The sequence below is a fragment of the Homo sapiens genome, chromosome 5, assembly GCF_000001405.40.
Source record: "Homo sapiens chromosome 5, GRCh38.p14 Primary Assembly".
Lineage (NCBI taxonomy): Eukaryota > Metazoa > Chordata > Mammalia > Primates > Hominidae > Homo > Homo sapiens.
In genome coordinates, this window is record NC_000005.10 from 179,636,310 (window position 1) to 179,655,066 (window position 18,757).

The 18,757-nt window shown below is 52.4% G+C and overlaps 3 long non-coding RNA genes across 3 annotated transcripts in view; 2 read left to right on the plus strand and 1 right to left on the minus strand.

The window, feature by feature from the left end:
* The window catches only part of LOC128966623 (uncharacterized), a 130,785-nt gene extending 113,853 nt beyond the window's left edge, over positions 1-16,932 (plus strand). The window contains 1 exon segment of the long non-coding RNA NR_185480.1: positions 15,680-16,932. This is a non-coding gene — a long non-coding RNA (uncharacterized LOC128966623).
* Positions 5,235-8,737, minus strand: SPATA31J1 (SPATA31 subfamily J member 1). The gene is made up of 6 exons (NR_131066.1): positions 8,490-8,737; positions 7,720-7,777; positions 7,121-7,181; positions 6,560-6,901; positions 6,017-6,131; positions 5,235-5,569 (listed from the first exon to the last, which is right to left on the minus strand). It is a non-coding gene; the product is annotated as an SPATA31 subfamily J member 1 (long non-coding RNA).
* LOC100502572 (chromosome 5 open reading frame 60-like) lies at positions 14,974-16,924 on the plus strand. The gene is made up of 4 exons (NR_171894.1): positions 14,974-15,043; positions 15,264-15,605; positions 15,985-16,148; positions 16,596-16,924. It is a non-coding gene; the product is annotated as a chromosome 5 open reading frame 60-like (long non-coding RNA).
* Positions 16,933-18,757: the final 1,825 nt, after the last annotated feature.

Here is an 18,757-nt window from a genome sequence, read left to right on the forward strand (position 1 = left end):
CTTTGTCGCCCAGGCTGGAGTACAATGGCACAGTCTCAGCTTACTGTAAACTCCACCTCACGCGTTCAAGCTATTCTTCTGCCTCAGCCTCTTGAGTAGCTGGGATTACAGGCGCGTGCCACCATACTCAGCTAATTTTTGTATTTTTAATAGAGATGGGGTTTCACCATGTTGGTCAGGCTGGTCTCGAACTCTTGACCTCGTGATCCGCCCACCTAGGCCTCCCAAAGTGCTGGGATTACAGGGGTGAACCATCCCGCCTGGCCAAGTTTTTATTTTAACAACTACTGTGTGTGAGAGAAGGGGGTGGGCTAGAGTAGGGTAATATGTACACGCTATGGCTGAAACAGAAAAATGGTAACTTTATTTTCTACTTCCCAGCATGCCCTGCTCTGAGCCCTCATTCCTAGTGAAGGTGGAAACAGAGCAAACTTGCTCTTGTATGGATTTAATTTAGTCTTTTTTTGTAATTACTCAGCCTTTCAGGTTGCTTTCTTCTCCGCTGCTCATTCTGTAGCAGACACTGGGTTGCCTACATAATCCCTTTTCCCCATTCTTTGCCAAGACCTCTGACTTTCTTTGGGATCCACCCTTGGAGAAGGTGCCTCTTGTCCTGGTTCAGGGACATATCCTGACGTGTCTAAGCCAATCACTGTAATGCCATTTCTCTCACCTCGGTTGGCTGGGGTGTGCATGAGACCAATTTCTGACCATGAAAACTCATGGATGTCTGCCATGGGGTCCATTCTTGAAAAGAAACACAAGTGGTCGGGCGCAGTGGCTCACGCCTGTAATCCCAGCACTTTGGGAGGCCGAGGCAGGCGCATCACGAGTTCAGGAGATCGAGACCATCCTGGCTAACACGGTGAAACCCCGTCTCTACTAAAAATCCAAAAAAAAATTAGCCAGGCGTGGTGGCGGGCGTCTGTAGTCCCAGCTACTCAAGAGGCTGAGTTGGGAGAATGGTGTCAACCCGGGAGGCGGAGCTTGCAGTGAGCCAAGATCGGGCCACTGCACTCCAGCCTGGGCAACAGACAGAGCGAGACTCCGTCTCAAAAAAAAAAAAAGAAACACAAGTAAGGAAACTGAATTTGTTATCCATACTTTCCGAAAAGAAAAACCCAGGCCTGGATGATTTAACCGCTTAGTATTTTGTTTTATTTTATTTTATTTATTTATTTTAGAGACGGAGTCTTGCTCTGTCACCCAGGCTGAAGCATGGAGTGCAGTGGCCCGATCTCGGCTCACTGCAACCTCCGCCTGCCGGGTTCAAGCAATTCTCCTGCCTCAGCCTCCCGAGTAGCTGGGAATACAGGTGCATGCCGCTGCCACGCCTGGCTAATTTTTGTGTTTTAGTAGGGACAGGGTTTCACCGTGTTGCCCAGGCTTGTCTCAAACTCCTGAGCTTAGGCAATGTGCCCGCCTCGGCCTCCCCAACTGCTAATATTGCAGGCCTGAGCCACCGTGCCTGGCTTTTTATTTTATCTTTTGGAGAGGTAGGGTCTTGCTATGTTGCCAGGGCTTGGCTCAAACTCTTGGCCTCAAGCAATCCTCCTGCCTCGGCCTCCCAAAGTGCTTGAATTACAGGCAAAAGCCGTCACACTCAGCTGACTGGTCAATTTTTTTTTATTATATTAATCATTTGTTTTGAATCAAATATTCAGTGAAGACATCAACACCAGTCTCATACAAACGCTTTGAGAAAATAGAGGAAGTGTTCAGTTCCTTATGTGAGGCCAGCTTAACCTAAGACAAAAACCTGACAAAAGCATTACAAAAAGAAAATTCCAGGCCGGGCACGGTGGCTCACGCCTGTAATTCCAGCACTTTGGGAGGCCGAGGTAGGTGGATTACGAGGTCAGGAGTTCAAGATCAAGCTGGCCAAGACAGTGAAACACTGTCTCTACTAAAAATACAAAAAAAAAAAAAAAATAGCCAGGCATGGTGGCGGGCGCCTGTAATCTCAGCTACTCAGGAGGCTGAGGCAGAGATTTGCTTGAACCCGCGAGGCAGAGTTTGCAGTGAGCCGAGATCTCGCCACTGCACTCCAGACTGGGCGACAGAGCGAAACTCCGTCTCAAAAACAAAAAACAAAAATTTTTTAAAGATAAAAATAATTAACCAGGTGTGGTGGTGCGTGTCTGTAGTCCCAGCTACAGTCTCCAGCTGAGCCAGTAGAATTGCTTGAGCCTAGGAGTTTGAATTGCAGTGAGCTATGATCGTGCTACTGCACTCAGCCTGGGCAACAGAATGAGACCCCATCCTTAAAATAAAATTTAAAAAAAAGGATATGAATTGGATTGTGTCACTTGAGGCTTCAGTGTTTGCTCTCCAAGTAGAATCGGCTCCCTCCCTGTCCAGCTTGGGGGCTGCCGCTCCAGGCCCTTGGCCTCTTAGCCTCAAAGCCTGCTTCCCTCTGCCTGACCAGGCCACGCATCACTTTCTCAGCAACTCTCCCCAACTCCCAAATAGCTCCCAATTAGGGGCTCTCATTATAGTGCATAGCACTTGCTGAAACTTGTAGCTGTGGACTGGATTGTAAAGTTACTCATTTTTCTTCATCTCCCTGCTAGATTCTAAGCTTCTCCAGGAAAGGGATCTTTTCTCCTCCGGTCATCCTAGGGCAAGGCAAATGGAATGTACTTGAACATTCACTGACTGGATGGACAAATGCATGAAATGAAGACACAAATGCGGAGCTAGTAAGCAATGGGCCAAGCATCCTTCCAAATGGAGAATGAAATTATGAAGACTTGGGCCAGGCGTGGTGGCTCACACCTGTAATCCCAGCACTTTGGGAGGCCAAGGCGGGCAGATCACGAGGTCAGGAGTTCGAAACCAGCCTGGCCAACATGGTGGAACCCTGTCTCTACTAAAAATACAAAAATTAGCCGGGCGTGGTGGGGCAGTAATCCCAGTTACTCGGGAAGCTGAGGTGGGAGAATCACTTGAACCTGAGAGGCGGAGGCTGCAGTGAGCCAAGATGGCGCCACTGCACTCCAACCTGGGTGACACAGCAAGACTCTGTCTCAAAAAAAAAAAAAAAAAAGGCCTGGTGCGGTGGCTCATGCCTGTAACCAGGCCGAGGCAGGGAGATCACCTGAGGTCAGGAGTTGGAGACCAGCCTGACTAACATGGAGAAACCTTGTCTCTACTGAAAAATACAAAATTAACAGAGCGTGGTGGCAGCGCCTGCTCATAATCCTTGGCATGCTGAGGCAGGAGAATCGCGTGAACCAAAGAGGTGGAGGTTCCGGTGAGCCAAGATCACGCCATTGCACTCCAGCCTGGGCAACAAGAGGAAAACTCCATCAAAAAAAAAAAAAGAAAGAAAGAAAGGAAGGAAGATTGATTATGAAGGCTCAAAAATGTAAGGAGCGGCCGGGCATGGTGGCTCACGCCTGTGTTCCCAGCACTCTGGGAGGCCGAGGTGGATGGATCATGAGGTCAGGAGATCAAGACCATCCTGGCTAACCCGGTGAAACCCCGTCTCTACTAAAAATTCAAAAAAAAATTTAGCCAGGCGTGGTGGCGGGCGCCTATAGTCCCAGCTACTCGAGAGGCTGAATTGGGAGAATGGCGTCAACCCGGGAGGCAGAGGTTGCAGTGAGCAGAGCTCCTGCCACTGTATTCCAGCCTGTGTGACAGAGTGAGACTCTGTCTCAAAAAAAAAAAAAAAAAAAAAAAAAATGTAAGGAGCAACCCACAGCATGAGGGAAAATATTTGCCAACAACAAATCAAACAACTCAATTCAAAAATGCATGAAGGGGACTGGTGCAGTGACGCATGCCTGTAATCCCAGCACTTTGGGAGTCTGAGGTGGGTGGATCACGAGGTCAGGAGTTTGAGACCAGCCTGACCAACATTGTGAAACCCCATCTCTACTAAAAATGCAAAAATTAGCTGGGCGTGGTGGCGTGCGCCTGTAATCCCAGCTACTCAGGAGGCTGAGGCAGGAGAATCGCTTGAACCTGGGAGGCAGAAGTTGCAGTGAGCCGAGATCGCGCCACTGCACTCCAGCCTGCGTGACAGAGCGAGACTCCGTCTAAAATAAATAAATAAATGAAAAAAATGCATGAAGGGGCCAGACCCGGTGGCTGAGGCAGGTGGATCACTTGAGGCCAAGAGTTCGAGACCAGCCTGGGCAACACAGCAAACCCCATCTCTACAGAAAATACAAAAATTCGTCAGGCATGGTGGTGTGTGTCTGTGGTCCCAGCTACTGGGGAGGTTGAGGCAGAAGGACTGCTTGAGGCTGAGAGGCAAAAAAAAAAAAAAAAAATAGCCAGTGGTTCATGCCTGTAATCCCAGCACTTTGAGAGGCTGACGCCAGCAGATCAGTTGAGGCCAGGAGTTCGAGACCAGCCTAGGCAGTGGTGGCCAGCACCTATAATCCCAGTTACCCGGGAACCTGAGGCAGGAGAATCGCTTGAACCTGGGAGGTGGAGGTTGCAGTGAGCCAACATCGCGCCACTGTACTCCAGCTTGGGCAATAAAGTGAGACTCTGTCTCAAACAAACAAACAAAAAGGCCGAGCGGGGTGGCTCACACCTGTAATCCCAGCACTTTGGGAGGCTGAGGCGGGCGGATCACGAGGTCAAGAGATGGAGACCATCCTGGTCAACATGGTGAAACCTTGTCTCTACTAAAAATACAAAAATTAGCCAGGCGTGGTGGCGGGCGCCTGTAGTCCCAGCTGCTCAGGAGGCTGAGGCAGGAGAATGGCTTGAATCCAGGAGGTGGAGATTGCAGTGAGTTGCGATCTCGCCACTGCACTCCAGTTTGGGTAACAGAGCAAGACTCCGTCTCAAAAAAATAAAACAAAACAAAACAAAACTGAGTAGTTCAACAGCTTAAGCCATGTTGGCTGAACATTAAGACTTTGTCAAATCCTAAGGAACAAAATAATATTAAAATTAGGAAGAATTATTTTGCCATAGGATAAAATAGAAATACTGCCATACATTTGACTTACTTGTTTAAAAACCAGACCTCACAAACCTGACCCAAGTTATGTGCAAAATAATGTGCCAGTTGCACAGCCCCTGGAGGCCAGTGTGAGCCCACATGCCTCTGCTGGTTTATTTCTAGAATCCACTCGCTGTGGGTCTTGATCGTGTTTCCAAAACAAGGAAGTCACCCATCTCTAGTTCAGGCCTTGTTACCAATGAAATTTTAAAATATGACATTGATACCATTTGACTGGACAATAACTAAAATTGGACAAAGAAGATATTTTCCTCTCATTGGAGGTTGCAGCATTTTATTCAGGTTTACAATTTATGATTCATCCAGCCGTGGTGGCTCAAGCCTATAATCCCAGCACTTTGAGAGGCTGAGGTGGGCAGATATCTCAAGGTCAGGAGTTCAAGACAAGCCTGGCTAACATGGTGACACCTTCTCTCGACTAAAATTACAAAAATTAGCTGGGTGCGGTGGCACAAGCCTGTAATCCCAGTTACTCGGGAGGCTGAGGCAGGAGAATGGCTTGAATCCGGGAGGCGGAGGTTGTGGTGAGCCAAGATGGTGCCACTGCACTCCAGCCTGAGCAACAGAGTGAGACTCCATCTAAAAAAAAAAAAAAAAATTGTGATTGTGTAAACTGTGACTCAGGGAACTGCAGAGAACAGAAGTTTGCAGGTCTACACGTGGAATCTGCAGTTCTGTTAGGAGAGACTGGCATTGCAAAAGAGCAGCAATTCCTGAGCATCTTCCCCAGCAGAGAGCCCATTCTGGGGGCAATGTTGACAATGACCCAGAGTCTCTGGGTTCTCCAGTGGGGGGCACAGCTGATGTTATCCCTCCTGTGCTGGCAGTTTTCTAAGTGAGTTCAGATCCTCTAGGAAGGAAGATCTGTGTGTGCAGCGCTGTGGAAGAGGTCTCTGTGGGCGCCAAGCCTCCCAAGGAGATTTACGGGCTCCAGGGACTGGAGGTTTGGACCCCATCTCCGTCTCTCCCAATCCATTAGAACATGCATTTCCAGCATCTGTGGGGTGCGCAGATGAGGGGACGCACCTCCAAGTTGTCCTCAGGAGATTCCCAATTGTTCGTGGATGTCGGATATTCGGTGTCCATGGGAGTGTCTGGGATTTTGGTGTCTTATGCGTCCAGCAGCGTTGGCACATCCAGGCTGAGGAAAGCGGGACCCCTGCCTCCACCTGCCTGCATGTGGGGTCTCCCTAGAAGGAAGCCTTTGGTAGGTGGGTGGGAAGATTAGGGTGCTTGAATGGGAACTGTGAGGAGGTGCAGTGGCACCAGGCTCTAGCAGCCTCCTGCCTCCAGGAGAGGCCCAGGTTGGGATCACTGCAGCGACCAACGCCTCGGATCACTCGAGGGCTAGAAGGCACCCACCAGGTGTGTGGACAGGAGCGCTCAGGGGCCTTGCACATTGGGCATATTATGGTGTCAGTTTCGGAATCAGCCTGCATGGAGTCGGACCAGGACACCCAGCCAGGATTCCGTCGTCGGGGAAGGGAACGCCCACGTGGCTTGTGTGAAGGGTGCTTCAGGGGACGCAAAGGCTCTGGTGGCTGGGAGGAGCTCAGGGATGACAGATACCCCAAGGATTCTGTGGAGCTGGTCGGGTTTGGTGATAGGGTGCTCGCAGGTGGCTGGTGTGAAGGGTGCTTCAGGGGACACAGAGGCTCTCGTGGCTTGGAGGAGCTCAGGGATGATGGAGACCCCAAGGACTCTACGGAGGTCTTCGGGACTGATGACGGCATGGAGGCCAGAGGAGCCAGGGGAGCCCGTGGGGACACATGGAAGCTGGTGGGAGAAGCTTTCCCACGCCCCCCACGTGGCCGGTGGTTCCTAGCAGGTGCTGGTTTGTACACTGGCCCTGGGCGGACTTGGCGTGGAAGGTGATGGGAGCTGCCCTCCCTAGAGAGCTTCTTCAGGCACCTGCAGGAGACAGGAGGCACAGGCTGCAGCCGGGAGCACTGGGCACCTGTGGACCTCCAGGGCCCCCCTGCTGACTTCACAAAGCTCTGCCTACCCCTGCCCAGGGCTTTAGTGACATCATGGCTGTGATCTCCCCTCCCAGATCAGCCCCAGGCCCTGGGGTGGCATCCTAGGCCCTGGTAGGAAGAAGGACATGGGAGGGAAGGGGAAGAGCCTCACTTTTTCGACAGGAAAGTGTAGATCTCAAGGTTCTCCAGTTCTTTCAAGAGAATTCTGTAATCTGGAAAGCAGGAGATGGGTTATGGTGGCGAGGGAGGGAACTGGGACTTACAGGAGGCCGATTGCGTGTGCCCTTAGGGGAGACCCCGGGATTGGGGATTAGACCCTGGAGCCCCAGCATCCCTGTCCAAGGCCACAGGGCCCCAGGAGTGATAGCCAGGTGCCCGGTGGGCAGCACTTTGTCCTCTCCAAAGTGCTTCCCGACACGCTCCATCATGGGGGTCACGACAACCTCCTGGGGAGAGAGGACAGAGGCAGTCTCAAAGAGGACTCAGCCATGTTAAACAGCTGCCCACATGGACCTGCATCCCCTCCTGCACGTCCAGGTGGTCACTGGTCCCCTCCTGGGCAACACCCGCTCCCTGGACCCCATGGCTTCAACTCAGCAGGGAATCGGAGATGGATCCCGGGTTCCAATTGCCCTACCAGGAGCTTCCCCATCAGGCCTCTGCAGATGACTTCCTAGGAGACTTGGTGCTTGTTCCTAGGGACAGGTGAAGCTGTCATCTCTGGGGCTTCTGGGACCCTCAGAGCCTTACCTTTCAAAGTGATATATTTATTTCCGATCCTGAGCCATTCCCCCACTTCAGCTTGATCCTGAGAGACAAGAAAGAGGGTGCAGGCCGGGTCTCAGTCTCCTGTCCCCACAGCTGCAGACCCAGTGCTCGTGAATGACACACTTTCTCCGCCCAGCTCATGGAGCCTGTGTGCTTCTCTTTCACTGGTTTCTAAAGTGCGTAATAACCTTTTTCTGGTTTCCTTCTCTGGAAAGCATGGAGGGGTTTTCTATGTGAGGCCTGCCCTGGGTATCCTCAGTCCCTGTTCCGCTGCTTGGGAAACGCACACTCTTGGGTCTGCAGGTGCCTCTGAGCTGGCAGGGAGGATTCTGCTTCCGAGGAGGCCAGGGGCGACTCCAGTCTCAGGTGGGAGGCTCTCAGGGGCTCAGCACAGCCCCCAGAGCACCTCACACAGAGGCTGGGCCCCGAGGCACCTGCCCAGGAAGGCGGCTGATGAGCCCGGGCTCAGGGCCTGTCCTTCCACAGAGACCTCACCCCTCTCATGACCGGGTCCTCGCCGCTGAGTCCTGGGGTTTGGTTTTGCTCTGACGCCTCCCGTGCACCTCCACAGATGGTCTGGGAGCTTGGGTTGGAAATCCTATGCCCACTCCAACCCCTGCCTGCCCTGCTGTCCCTAGAGGGATGATGAGAGTTCCCATCACAGGAGCGCCTCTGGCTGATGTGGAAAAGTGGAAAAGAGAGCAGGAAAAATAGAAGCATTCTCTGCTGGGTGTGGGCTGAGGGCTCCTTACATTCTCGCTGTCCTCCTCTCTGGGAGGCACTGAGGACGGCTCCCTGGGAATGTAGAGGCGTAAGATAATCAGGATCACCAGGCTGAACACAACAAAGAGGACGAAATGGATGATCTGGGGAATGGGGCTGGGGCACAGCTCTGTACCAATAACACTGTCCAGAGGAAAGAGAATATCCATGTCAACTGCACTGCTGTCCTCAGGCAACTGAGCCCTGGGCATCCCCTCTGGGACAAGTTATTGGGGCCCAGGTCCACATCACAGAGCTGGGGCCTCCCCCTCACAAAGGGCTCCTAAGGGTGGGGTGGGCAGTGGGAGGAGGAGGCTAAAGCCCAGCCCCGCCCACCACCACCCACCCCTGCAGTTCCCTCCACCCTCCTGGCCTTCCGGATCCCTCCTTCCCACTCCACCTGCTCAACCTGTCAGAAACAGACCTGGTCCGTTTTCCGTCCTCTTGCCCTGGCACACAGATGGTACCTGGTTCATTGGAGATCTCTGCTCAGACTCCCTCAGTTTCACAGTTTTTGAGGATCTGGATTTGTCCCTGAAATTCCTGTTATTTCCAGGGATTATTGCTCCAGGGTCTCCTCTGCCTGCTCACTGCAACCTCCGCCTCTTGGGTTCAAGCAATTCTTTGCCTCAGCCTCCTGAGTAGCTGGGATTACAGGTGCCTGCCACGACGCCTGGCTTATTTTTTTAATTTTTAGTAGAGACAGGGTTTCACTATCTTGGCCAGGCTGATCTCAAACTCCTGACCTCGTGATCGGCCCGTCTCGGCCTCCCAAAGTGCTGGGATTACAGGCGTGAACCACCGCACACAGCCTCAAAAAAGTTTTTTTAGGGCTTTGGCTAAGTACATGAAGATAAGTGATGCCCAATTCAGGTTTTGCCAAATAACACAACTCTTTTCAGAAACTACAAATTCCACTGGCTCTGGCAGAATGAATATCAACCTAGGTCAATTCTCCATAACAAGAACCCATAAATTTGCCGGCCGGGCGCGGTGGCTCACGAGGTCAGGAGATCAAGACCATCCTAGCTAACACGGTGAAACCCCCTCTCTACTAAAAATACAAAAAATTAGCGTGGTGGCGGGTGCCTGAAGTCGGAGCTACTCGGGAGGCTGAGGCAGGAGAATGGCATGAACCCGGGAGGCAGAGGTTGCAGTGAGCTGAGATCACGCCACCGCACTCCAGCCTGGGCGACAGAGTGAGACTCCATCTTGAAAAAAAAAACAGAACCCACAAATTTGCCAGCCCACTTCACGTCTCGACTATTAGATAACAGCAGGCAAGATGCATGTTCCTGATGGGCACCAGTTGCTTACATGGTGATTCTTGCAAGATGCATGTTCCTGATGGGCACCAGTTGCTTACATGGGGATTCTTGCAAGATGCATGTTCCTGATGGGCACCAGTTGCTTACATGGGGATTCTTGCAAGATGCATGTTCCTGATGGGCACCAGTTGCTTACATGGTGATTCTTGCAAGATGCATGTTCCTGATGGGCACCAGTTGCTTACATGGTGATTCTTGCAAGATGCATGTTCCTGATGGGCACCAGTTGCTTACATGGTGATTCTTGCAAGATGCATGTTCCTGATGGGCACCAGTTGCTTACATGGTGATTCTTGCAAGATGCATGTTCCTGATGGGCACCAGTTGCTTACATGGTGATTCTTGCAAGATGCATGTTCCTGATGGGCACCAGTTGCTTACATGGTGATTCTTGCAAGATGCATGTTCCTGATGGGCACCAGTTGCTTACATGGTGATTCTTGCAAGATGCATGTTCCTGATGGGCACCAGTTGCTTACATGGTGATTCTTGCAAGATGCATGTTCCTGATGGGCACCAGTTGCTTACATGGTGATTCTTGCAAGATGCATGTTCCTGATGGGCACCAGTTGCTTACATGGTGATTCTTGCAAGATGCATGTTCCTGATGGGCACCAGTTGCTTACATGGTGATTCTTCTTTGAGTTATTGGTGTTTTCTCCCTTTCTTCCCTCCCTCCCTCCGTCCCTTTCCTCCTCTCCCCTCCACCTAATAGAGGGTCCACGTCTCCACAGGGTCACCTCTGTCTCCAGCATTAGAAAAGGAAGTCAGAGCTGGTCACGGTGACTCACACCTGTAATCCCAGCACTTCGGGAGGCTAAGGTGGGAGGATCACGAGGTCAGGAGATTGAGACCATCCTGGCTAACACAGTGAAACCCCGTCTCTACTAAAAATACAAAAAATTAGCCGGGTGTGGTGGCGGGCGCCTGTAGTCCCAGCTACTCGGGAGGCTGAGGTGGGAGAATGGGGTGAATCCGGGAGGCGGAGCTTACAGTGAGCCGAGATCACACCACTGCACTCCAGCCTGGGCGACAGAGCAAGACTCCGTCTCAAAATAAATAAATAAATAAATAAATAAAAAATAAAAGGAAGTCAGAAAGCTAAGCAAGGCCTGGATCAGGAGACCTATTTATTCTAATGATGAGAAAGCACCGCAGGGCTCTGGGAAGGGAAGTGGCATGGTCTGATTTACCTATTTTAAAAAATCCATGTAAAGATTATGTGGGGGAGTGGGGGCAAGAGTAGAAGCAGAGATGCCCTGTAGGAAGCAGGTACAAGAATCCAGACAGGAAGGTTGCGGGTTGCTTGGACTAGGGTGGAAATACTGCAGACAGGTTCGGGGTCTATTTTGAAGATAAAGCCAGCTGGTCTTGCTCATGTGGGCACTGAGAGAACCTGGGGCCAGGGAACTAGGTAAATTGCGGGGTGGGTGGGGAAGGGAGGGAAGGATGCTACTTTGACTGAGATGGAAAACACTGGGGGAGCAGTTGGGTTTGAGTTGTGTGGGGGCTTCAGAAATCTTTTGACCTTAAACGTAAGATGGTGTCAGACATACCAGTGGCACTAGAAGCTGTGGAAGCACAGGAACAATCTAGAAATTGGCCGAGAGCTTTGGCTGGATATTTTAAATGTGGGAATCATCAGTTTATAGGTGTCACTGGTGTAAAACCATGGACCAAGGGCCGGGCGTGGTGGCTCAGGCCTGTAATCCCAGCACTTTGGGAGGCTAAGGCGGGCAGATCACTTGAAGTCAGGAGTTTGAGACCAGCCTGGCCAACGTGGTGAAACCCTGTCTCTTCTAAAAATGCAAAAGTTAGCCGAGTGTGGTGGCACACATCTATAGTCCCAGCTACTCAGGAGGCTGAGGCAGGAGAATCACTTGAACCCGGGAGGCGGAGGTTGCAGGGCACCGAGATCATACCCTACATGATCCCAGCACTTTGGGAGGCCGAGGCGGCTGGATCACGAGGTCAGGAGATCGAGACCATCCTGGCTAACACGGTGAAACCCCACCTCTACTAAAAATACAAAAAATTAGCCGGGCATGGTGGCGGGTGCCTGTAGTCCCAGCGCCTGGGCAACAGAGACTCCATCTCAAAAAAAAAAAAAGTGACTAGAAACTCAAAAAGTGTGGAGAGCGGGAGCAGGGGAAGGGCTGAAAAACTGCCTGTTGGGCACTGTCTTCACTATCTGAGTGACAGGTTCACTAGAAGCCCAAACCTCAGCACCACACGGTTTATCCATGTAACAAACCTGCGCATGCACCCACTGAATCTCAAATGTTTTAAAAAGCGATAAGCCATGTTAATAGCAGGTACCCTTGGTGTGATGTGATGTGATGAGAATGACATTTCCCCCACGGGCTTCCTCCCCATGACACAGGGGCCACCCCAGCCATGTTTACAGCCCTGGCCCCAGACAGTATTGAGCCCCTGAGCCCCCACCACTTGTGTGTACAGCTCCGGTTCCCCTGCCCCACCTCATCCAGCCGGCTCTACCTTATTTTGACGTCATAGCTGAGCACGTGCTGGGAGATGGCCGTGGTACAGCCTGTAAGTAGGGCTGTAAATAGTCACAATGGGCCTGTAAATAGTCCAGCCCCATTACCACGTTCTGGTCCAGACAGCGGGCTGCAGGTGAGTTGTTTCTAGAACCAGAGCTTATATGAAGAGAAAAATAGAAGGGACAGAACAGTGTGTTCCCAGATCACACCTGCAGCTCCTACAGGCTGGGGTGGGGGTCTGGGGCCCGGCTCTGCTGGCTCAGTCATTTTGCTTCTCCTCAAGTTCCCTCTGTGGAACTGGGCGCCGTTTCCACCAAACCGTCTGCTCTCCAGTCCCACAGGGGCTGCTGTCAGTCACCCTACGGCCTCTCTGCCTAGGCTTTGAAACTGATTCATTGTTCTTTTGCTGTATTTTTCTTTGTAGGTTTCAGAATTCTCTGTTTATTTATGATAATTTGGGAAGGATCCTGGGAGAGTGAAAATAAATGAAGTGCGCAATCTGCCAAGTTTCACTGGAGGCTCCACTGATCCTTCCACCATGCTCAAATGCCTGCAGGAAATCTGGGGAATCATCTTTCCTACCCTAAGACCCTGGGACTGAGCACTGGCCCTGAGGCCCCTGACAGGCATAAACTAATCAGCAAATGTGCAGGAAAAATGCGGAGCTGCAAGACCAAAGTCAGATTCCCACTCTCCCTAAAGGCCTGGATTCCCCTGGAAACCCACATCCCCACTTCCTGGAAGGAGCTATGAGGACCCAGGGGAGTGGCTCTGGGCATCAACTGGTCCAGGCAGGAGGTGGTTCCCCATGTCCCATCTTTCCAGCGCCCAAGGGAGCCTCTCAGGGGAGTCTCATCACCCCCCGCCCCACCATCACAGAGCAGCCTGCTCCTGGCCTGTATCCAAACACCCCTGGGGGCGGCTGCCCTGGGCGTGCTCCCCTTTCCCTGATGGCCGCTAGAACTCCGTGAGGAGAGGCTCGCCAGGGTCACCCAGACAGTCCCTGATCCCACATTGTCCCGACACATGAGGCTTCACCCCGGAGGAAATAGGAAAAGGGAGTGAATCCTGTGGGCTCCCCTCACAAAAGGAAAGCTACGTGCTGTCACTTGGGCGCAAGGCGGGCTATGAGGCTGGAGAAAAGCTCCCAGGGACGACGCCTCCGGGAGCTTTTTTCTTTTTCTTTTTTTTTTTTTTTTTAATTGATCATTCTTGGGTGTTTCTGGCAGAGGGGGATTTGGCAGGGTCATAGGACAATAGTGGAGGGAAGGTCAGCAGATAAACATGTGAACAAGCGTCTCTGGTTTTCCTAGGCAGAGGACCCTGCGGCCTTCCGCAGTGTTTGTGTCCCTGGGTACTTGAGATTAGGGAGTGGTGATGACTCTTAAGGAGCATGCTGCCTTCAAGCATCTGTTTAACAAAGCACATCTTGCACCGCCCTTAATCCATTTAACCCTGAGTGGACACAGCACATGTTTCAGAGAGCACGGGGTTGGGGGTAAGGTCATAGATCAACAGGATCCCAAGGCAGAAGAATTTTTCTTAGTACAGAACAAAATGAAGTCTCCCATGTCTACTTCTTTCCACACAGACACAGCAACAATCCGATCGCTCTATCTTTTCCCCACCTTTCCCCCCTTTCTATTCCACAAAACCGCCATCGTCATCATGGCCCGTTCTCAATGAGCTGTTGGGTACACCTCCCAGATGGGGTGGTGGCCGGGCAGAGGGGCTCCTCACCTCCCAGACGGGGCTGCCGGGCAGAGGCGCCCCCCACCTCCCTCCTGGACGGGGCGGCTGCCGGGCGGAGGCTGACCCCCCACCTCCCTCCCGGACGGGGTGGCTGCCGGGCGGAGGGGCTCCTCACTTCCCAGACGATAGGCGGCCAGGCAGAGACGCTCCTCACTTCCCAGACGGGGTGGCGGCCGGGCAGAGGCTGCAATCTCGGCACTTTGGGAGGCCAAGGCAGGCGGCTGGGAGGTGGAGGTTGTAGCTAGCCGAGATCACGCCACTGCACTCCAGCCTGGGCAAGATTGAGCACTGAGTGAGCGAGACTCCGTCTGCAATCCCGGCACCTCGGGAGGCCCTCTTTTTTTTTTTTGAGATGGAGTCGCTCTGTTGCCCAGGCTGGAGTGCAGTGGCGCAATCTCAGCTCACTGCAACCTCCACCTCCCGGGTTCAAGCAATTCTCCTGCATCAGCCTCTGGAGTAGCTGGGAATATAAGTGCCCGCCACCACGCCCGGCTAATTTTTTGTATTTTTAGTAGAGATGGGGTTTCACAATGTTGGCCAGGCTGCCTTTAAATTCCTGACCTCAGATGATCCGCCTGCCCTGGCCTCCCAAAGTGCTGGAATTACAGGCATAAGCCACCACATCTGGCCGCCTCCTGAAGTCTTTGCTGCACAGGGCTCCATCCTTTTGTGGGGCCAGGAGGGTGGGATTCTGCCCTCATCTGCTGGCCAGTGCTCCCACCTCATTTTACCAGGGGACAGCCCGGCCAGGAGAGGTTGGCGTGGGATGCACCCACCACTCGGGGGCCTGTGGGAGGTAGTCACCCCCTCCTGGCCAGACTGAGCGTCTTTGCTTTGCAGTCCACTTATTCAAGTGTTAATCCCTCCCTCACCACCATAACCCATCTCCTGCTTTCCAGCTTGCAGAAGTCTCTTGAAAGAACTAGAGAACACTAAGGACCACACTCTCCTGCTGGAAAAGTGAGGCTCTTTCCTCTTCCCTCCCGTGTCCTCCTTCCTACCAGGACCTAGGATGCCACCCCAGGGCCTAGGGCTGATCTGGGAGGGGAGATCACAGCCGTGATGTCACTAAAGCCCTGGGCAGGGGTAGGCAGAGCTTTGTGAAGTCAGCAGGGGGGCCCTGGAGGTCCACAGGTGCCCAGTGCTCCCGGCTGCAGCCTGTGCCTCCTGTCTCCTGCAGGCGCCTGAAGAAGCTCTCTAGGGAGGGCAGCTCCCATCACCTTCCACGCCAAGTCCGCCCAGGGCCAGTGTACAAACCAGCACCTGCTAGGAACCACCGGCCACGTGGGGGGCGTGGGAAAGCTTCTCCCACCAGCTTCCATGTGTCCCCACGGGCTCCCCTGGCTCCTCTGGCCTCCATGCCGTCATCAGTCCCGAAGACCTCCATAGAGTCCCTTGGGTCTCCATCATCCCTGAGCTCCTCCCAGGCATCAGAGCCTCTGTGTCCCCTGAAGCACCCTTCACACCGGCCACCTGCGAGCACCCTATCACCAAACCTGACCAGCTCCACAGAATCCTTGGGGTATCTGTCATCCCTCAGCTCCTCTCAGCCACCAGAGCCTTTGCGTCCCCTGGAATGTCCTTCACACAAGCCATGTGGGCGTTCCCTTCCCCGACGACGGAATCCTGGCTGGGTGTCCTGGTCCGACTCCATGCAGGCTGATTCCGAAACTGACGCCATAATATGCCCAATGTGCAAGGCCCCTGAGCGCTCCTGTCCACACACCTGGTGGGTGCCTTCTAGCCCTCGAGTGATCCGAGGCGTTGGTCGCTGCAGTGATCCCAACCTGGGCCTCTCCTGGAGGCAGGAGGCTGCTAGAGCCTGGTGCCACTGCACCTCCTCACAGTACCCATTCAAGCACCCTAATCTTCCCACCCACCTACCAAAGGCTTCTTTCTAGGGAGACCCCACATGCAGGCAGGCGGAGGCAGGGGTCCCGCTTTCCTCAGCCTGGATGTGCCAACGCTGCTGGACGCACAAGACACCAAAATCCCAGACACTCCCATGGACACCGAATATCCGACATCCACGAACAATTGGGAATCTCCTGAGGACAACTTGGAGGCGCGTCCCCTCATCTGGGCACCCCACAGATGCTGGAAATGCGTGTTCTAATGGATTGGGAGAGAAGGAGATGGGGTCCAAACCTCCAGTCCCTGGAGCCCGTAAATCTCCTTGGGAGGCTTGGCGCCCACAGAGACCTCTTCCACAGCGCTGCACACACAGATCTTCCTTCCTAGAGGATCTGAACTCACTTAGAAAACTGCCAGCACAGGAGGGATAACATCAGCTGTGCACCCCACTGGAGAACCCAGAGACTCTGGGTCATTGTCAACATTGCCCCCAGAATGGGCTCTCTGCTGGGGAAGATGCTCAGGAATTGCTGCTCTTTTGCAATGCCAGTCTCTCCTAACAGAACTGCAGATTCCACGTGTAGACCTGCAAACTTCTGTTCTCTGCAGTTCCCTGAGTCACAGTTTACACAATCACAATTTTTTTTTTTTTTTTTAGATGGAGTCTCACTCTGTTGCTCAGGCTGGAGTGCAGTGGCACCATCTTGGCTCACCACAACCTCCGCCTCCCGGATTCAAGCCATTCTCCTGCCTCAGCCTCCCGAGTAACTGGGATTACAGGCTTGTGCCACCGCACCCAGCTAATTTTTGTAATTTTAGTCGAGAGAAGGTGTCACCATGTTGGCCAGGCTTGTCTTGAACTCCTGACCTTGAGATATCTGCCCACCTCAGCCTCTCAAAGTGCTGGGATTATAGGCTTGAGCCACCACGGCTGGATGAATCACAAATTGTAAACCTGAATAAAATGCTGCAACCTCCAATGAGAGGAAAATATCTTCTTTGTTCAATTTTAGTTATTGTCTAGTCAAATGGTATCAATGTCATAGTTTAAAATTTCATTGGCAACAAGGCCTGAAATAGAGATGGGTGACTTCCCTATTTTGGAAACATGATCAAGACCCACAGCGAGTGGACTCTAGAAATAAACCAGCAGAGGCATGTGGGCTCACACTGGCCTCCAGGGGCTGTGCAACTGGCACATTATTTTGCACATAACTTGGGTCAGGTTTGTGAGGTCTGGTTTTTAAATGAAGCAACAACCATATAAAGATTTTCAAACAAATGAGTCAAATGTATGGCAGTATTTCTATTTTATCCTATGGCAAAATAATTCTTCCTAATTTTAATATTATTTTGTTCCTTAGGATTTGACAGTCTTAATGTTCAGCCAACATGGCTTAAGCTGATAAACTACTTAGAAGGATTCTTTTTTTTTGAGATGGGCTCTTGCTCTGTCACCCAAACTGGAGTGCAGTGGCGCGATCTCGACTCACTGCAACCTCCGCCTCCCGGGTTCAAGTGATTCTTCTGCCTCAGTCTCCCAAGTAACTGGGACTACAGGTGTGTGCCACCACGCCCGACTAATTTTTGTATTTTTAGTAGAGACAAGGTTTCACCATGTTGACCAGGATAGTCTCAATCTCTTGACCTCGTGATCTGCCTGCATCCGCCTCCCAAAGTGCTGGGTTTACAGGTGTGAGCCACCACACCTGGTGTTTTTGTTTTTTTTTTTTGTTTTTTTTGAGACGGCGGAGTCTCACTCTGTTGCCCAGGCTGGAGTGCAGTGGTGTGATCTCGGCTCACTGCAAGCTCCGCCTCCTGGGTTCACGCCATTCTCCTGCCTCAGCCTCCCGAGTAGCTGGGACTATAGGCGCCCGCCACCACGTCCTGCTAATTTTTTTTTTTTTTTAGTAGTGATGGGGTTTCATCATGTTAGCCAGGATGGTCTCGATCTCCTGACCTCGTGATCCGCCCGCCTCGGCCTCTCAAAGTGTTGGGATAACAGGCGTTGAGCCACCCCGCCCAGCCTTTTCATTTGTTTGTTTGTTTGTCTGAGACAGTCTCACTTTATTGCCCAAGCTGGAGTACAGTGGCGCGATCTTGGCTCACTGCAACCTCCACCTCCCAGGTTCAAGTGATTCTCCTGCCTCAGGTTCCCGGGTAACTGGGATTACAGGCGCTCGCCACCACTGCCTAGGCTGGTCCCGAACTCCTGGCCTCAAGTGATCTGCTGGCCTTGGCCTCCCAAAGTGCTGGGATTACAGGCATGAACCACCAGCTATTTTTTTTTTTTTTTTTTTTTTTTTTTTTGCCTCTCAGGCTCAAGCAGTCCTTCTGCCTCAACCTCCCCAGTAGCTGGGACCACAGACACACACCACCATGCCTGACGAATTTTTGTATTTTCTGTAGAGATGGGGTTTGCTGTGTTGCCCAGGCTGGTCTTGAACTATTGGCCTCAAGTGATCCACCTGTCTCAGCCACCGGGTCCGGCCCCTTCATGCTTTTTTGTTCGTTTATTTATTTATTCATTCATTTTAGACGGAGTCTCCCTCTGTCACGCAGGCTGCAGTGCAATGGCGCGATCTCGGCTCACTGCAACTTCTGCCTCCCGGGTTCAAGCGATTCTCCTGCCTCAGCCTCCTGAGTAGCTGGGATTACAGGCGCACTCCACCATGCCCAGCTAATTTCTGCATTTTTAGTAAAGACGGAGTTTCACAATGTTGGTCAGGCTAGTCCCAAACTCCTGACCTCGTGATCCACCCACCTCAGACTCCCAAAGTGCTGGGATTACAGGCATGCGTCACTGCACCAGGCCCCCTT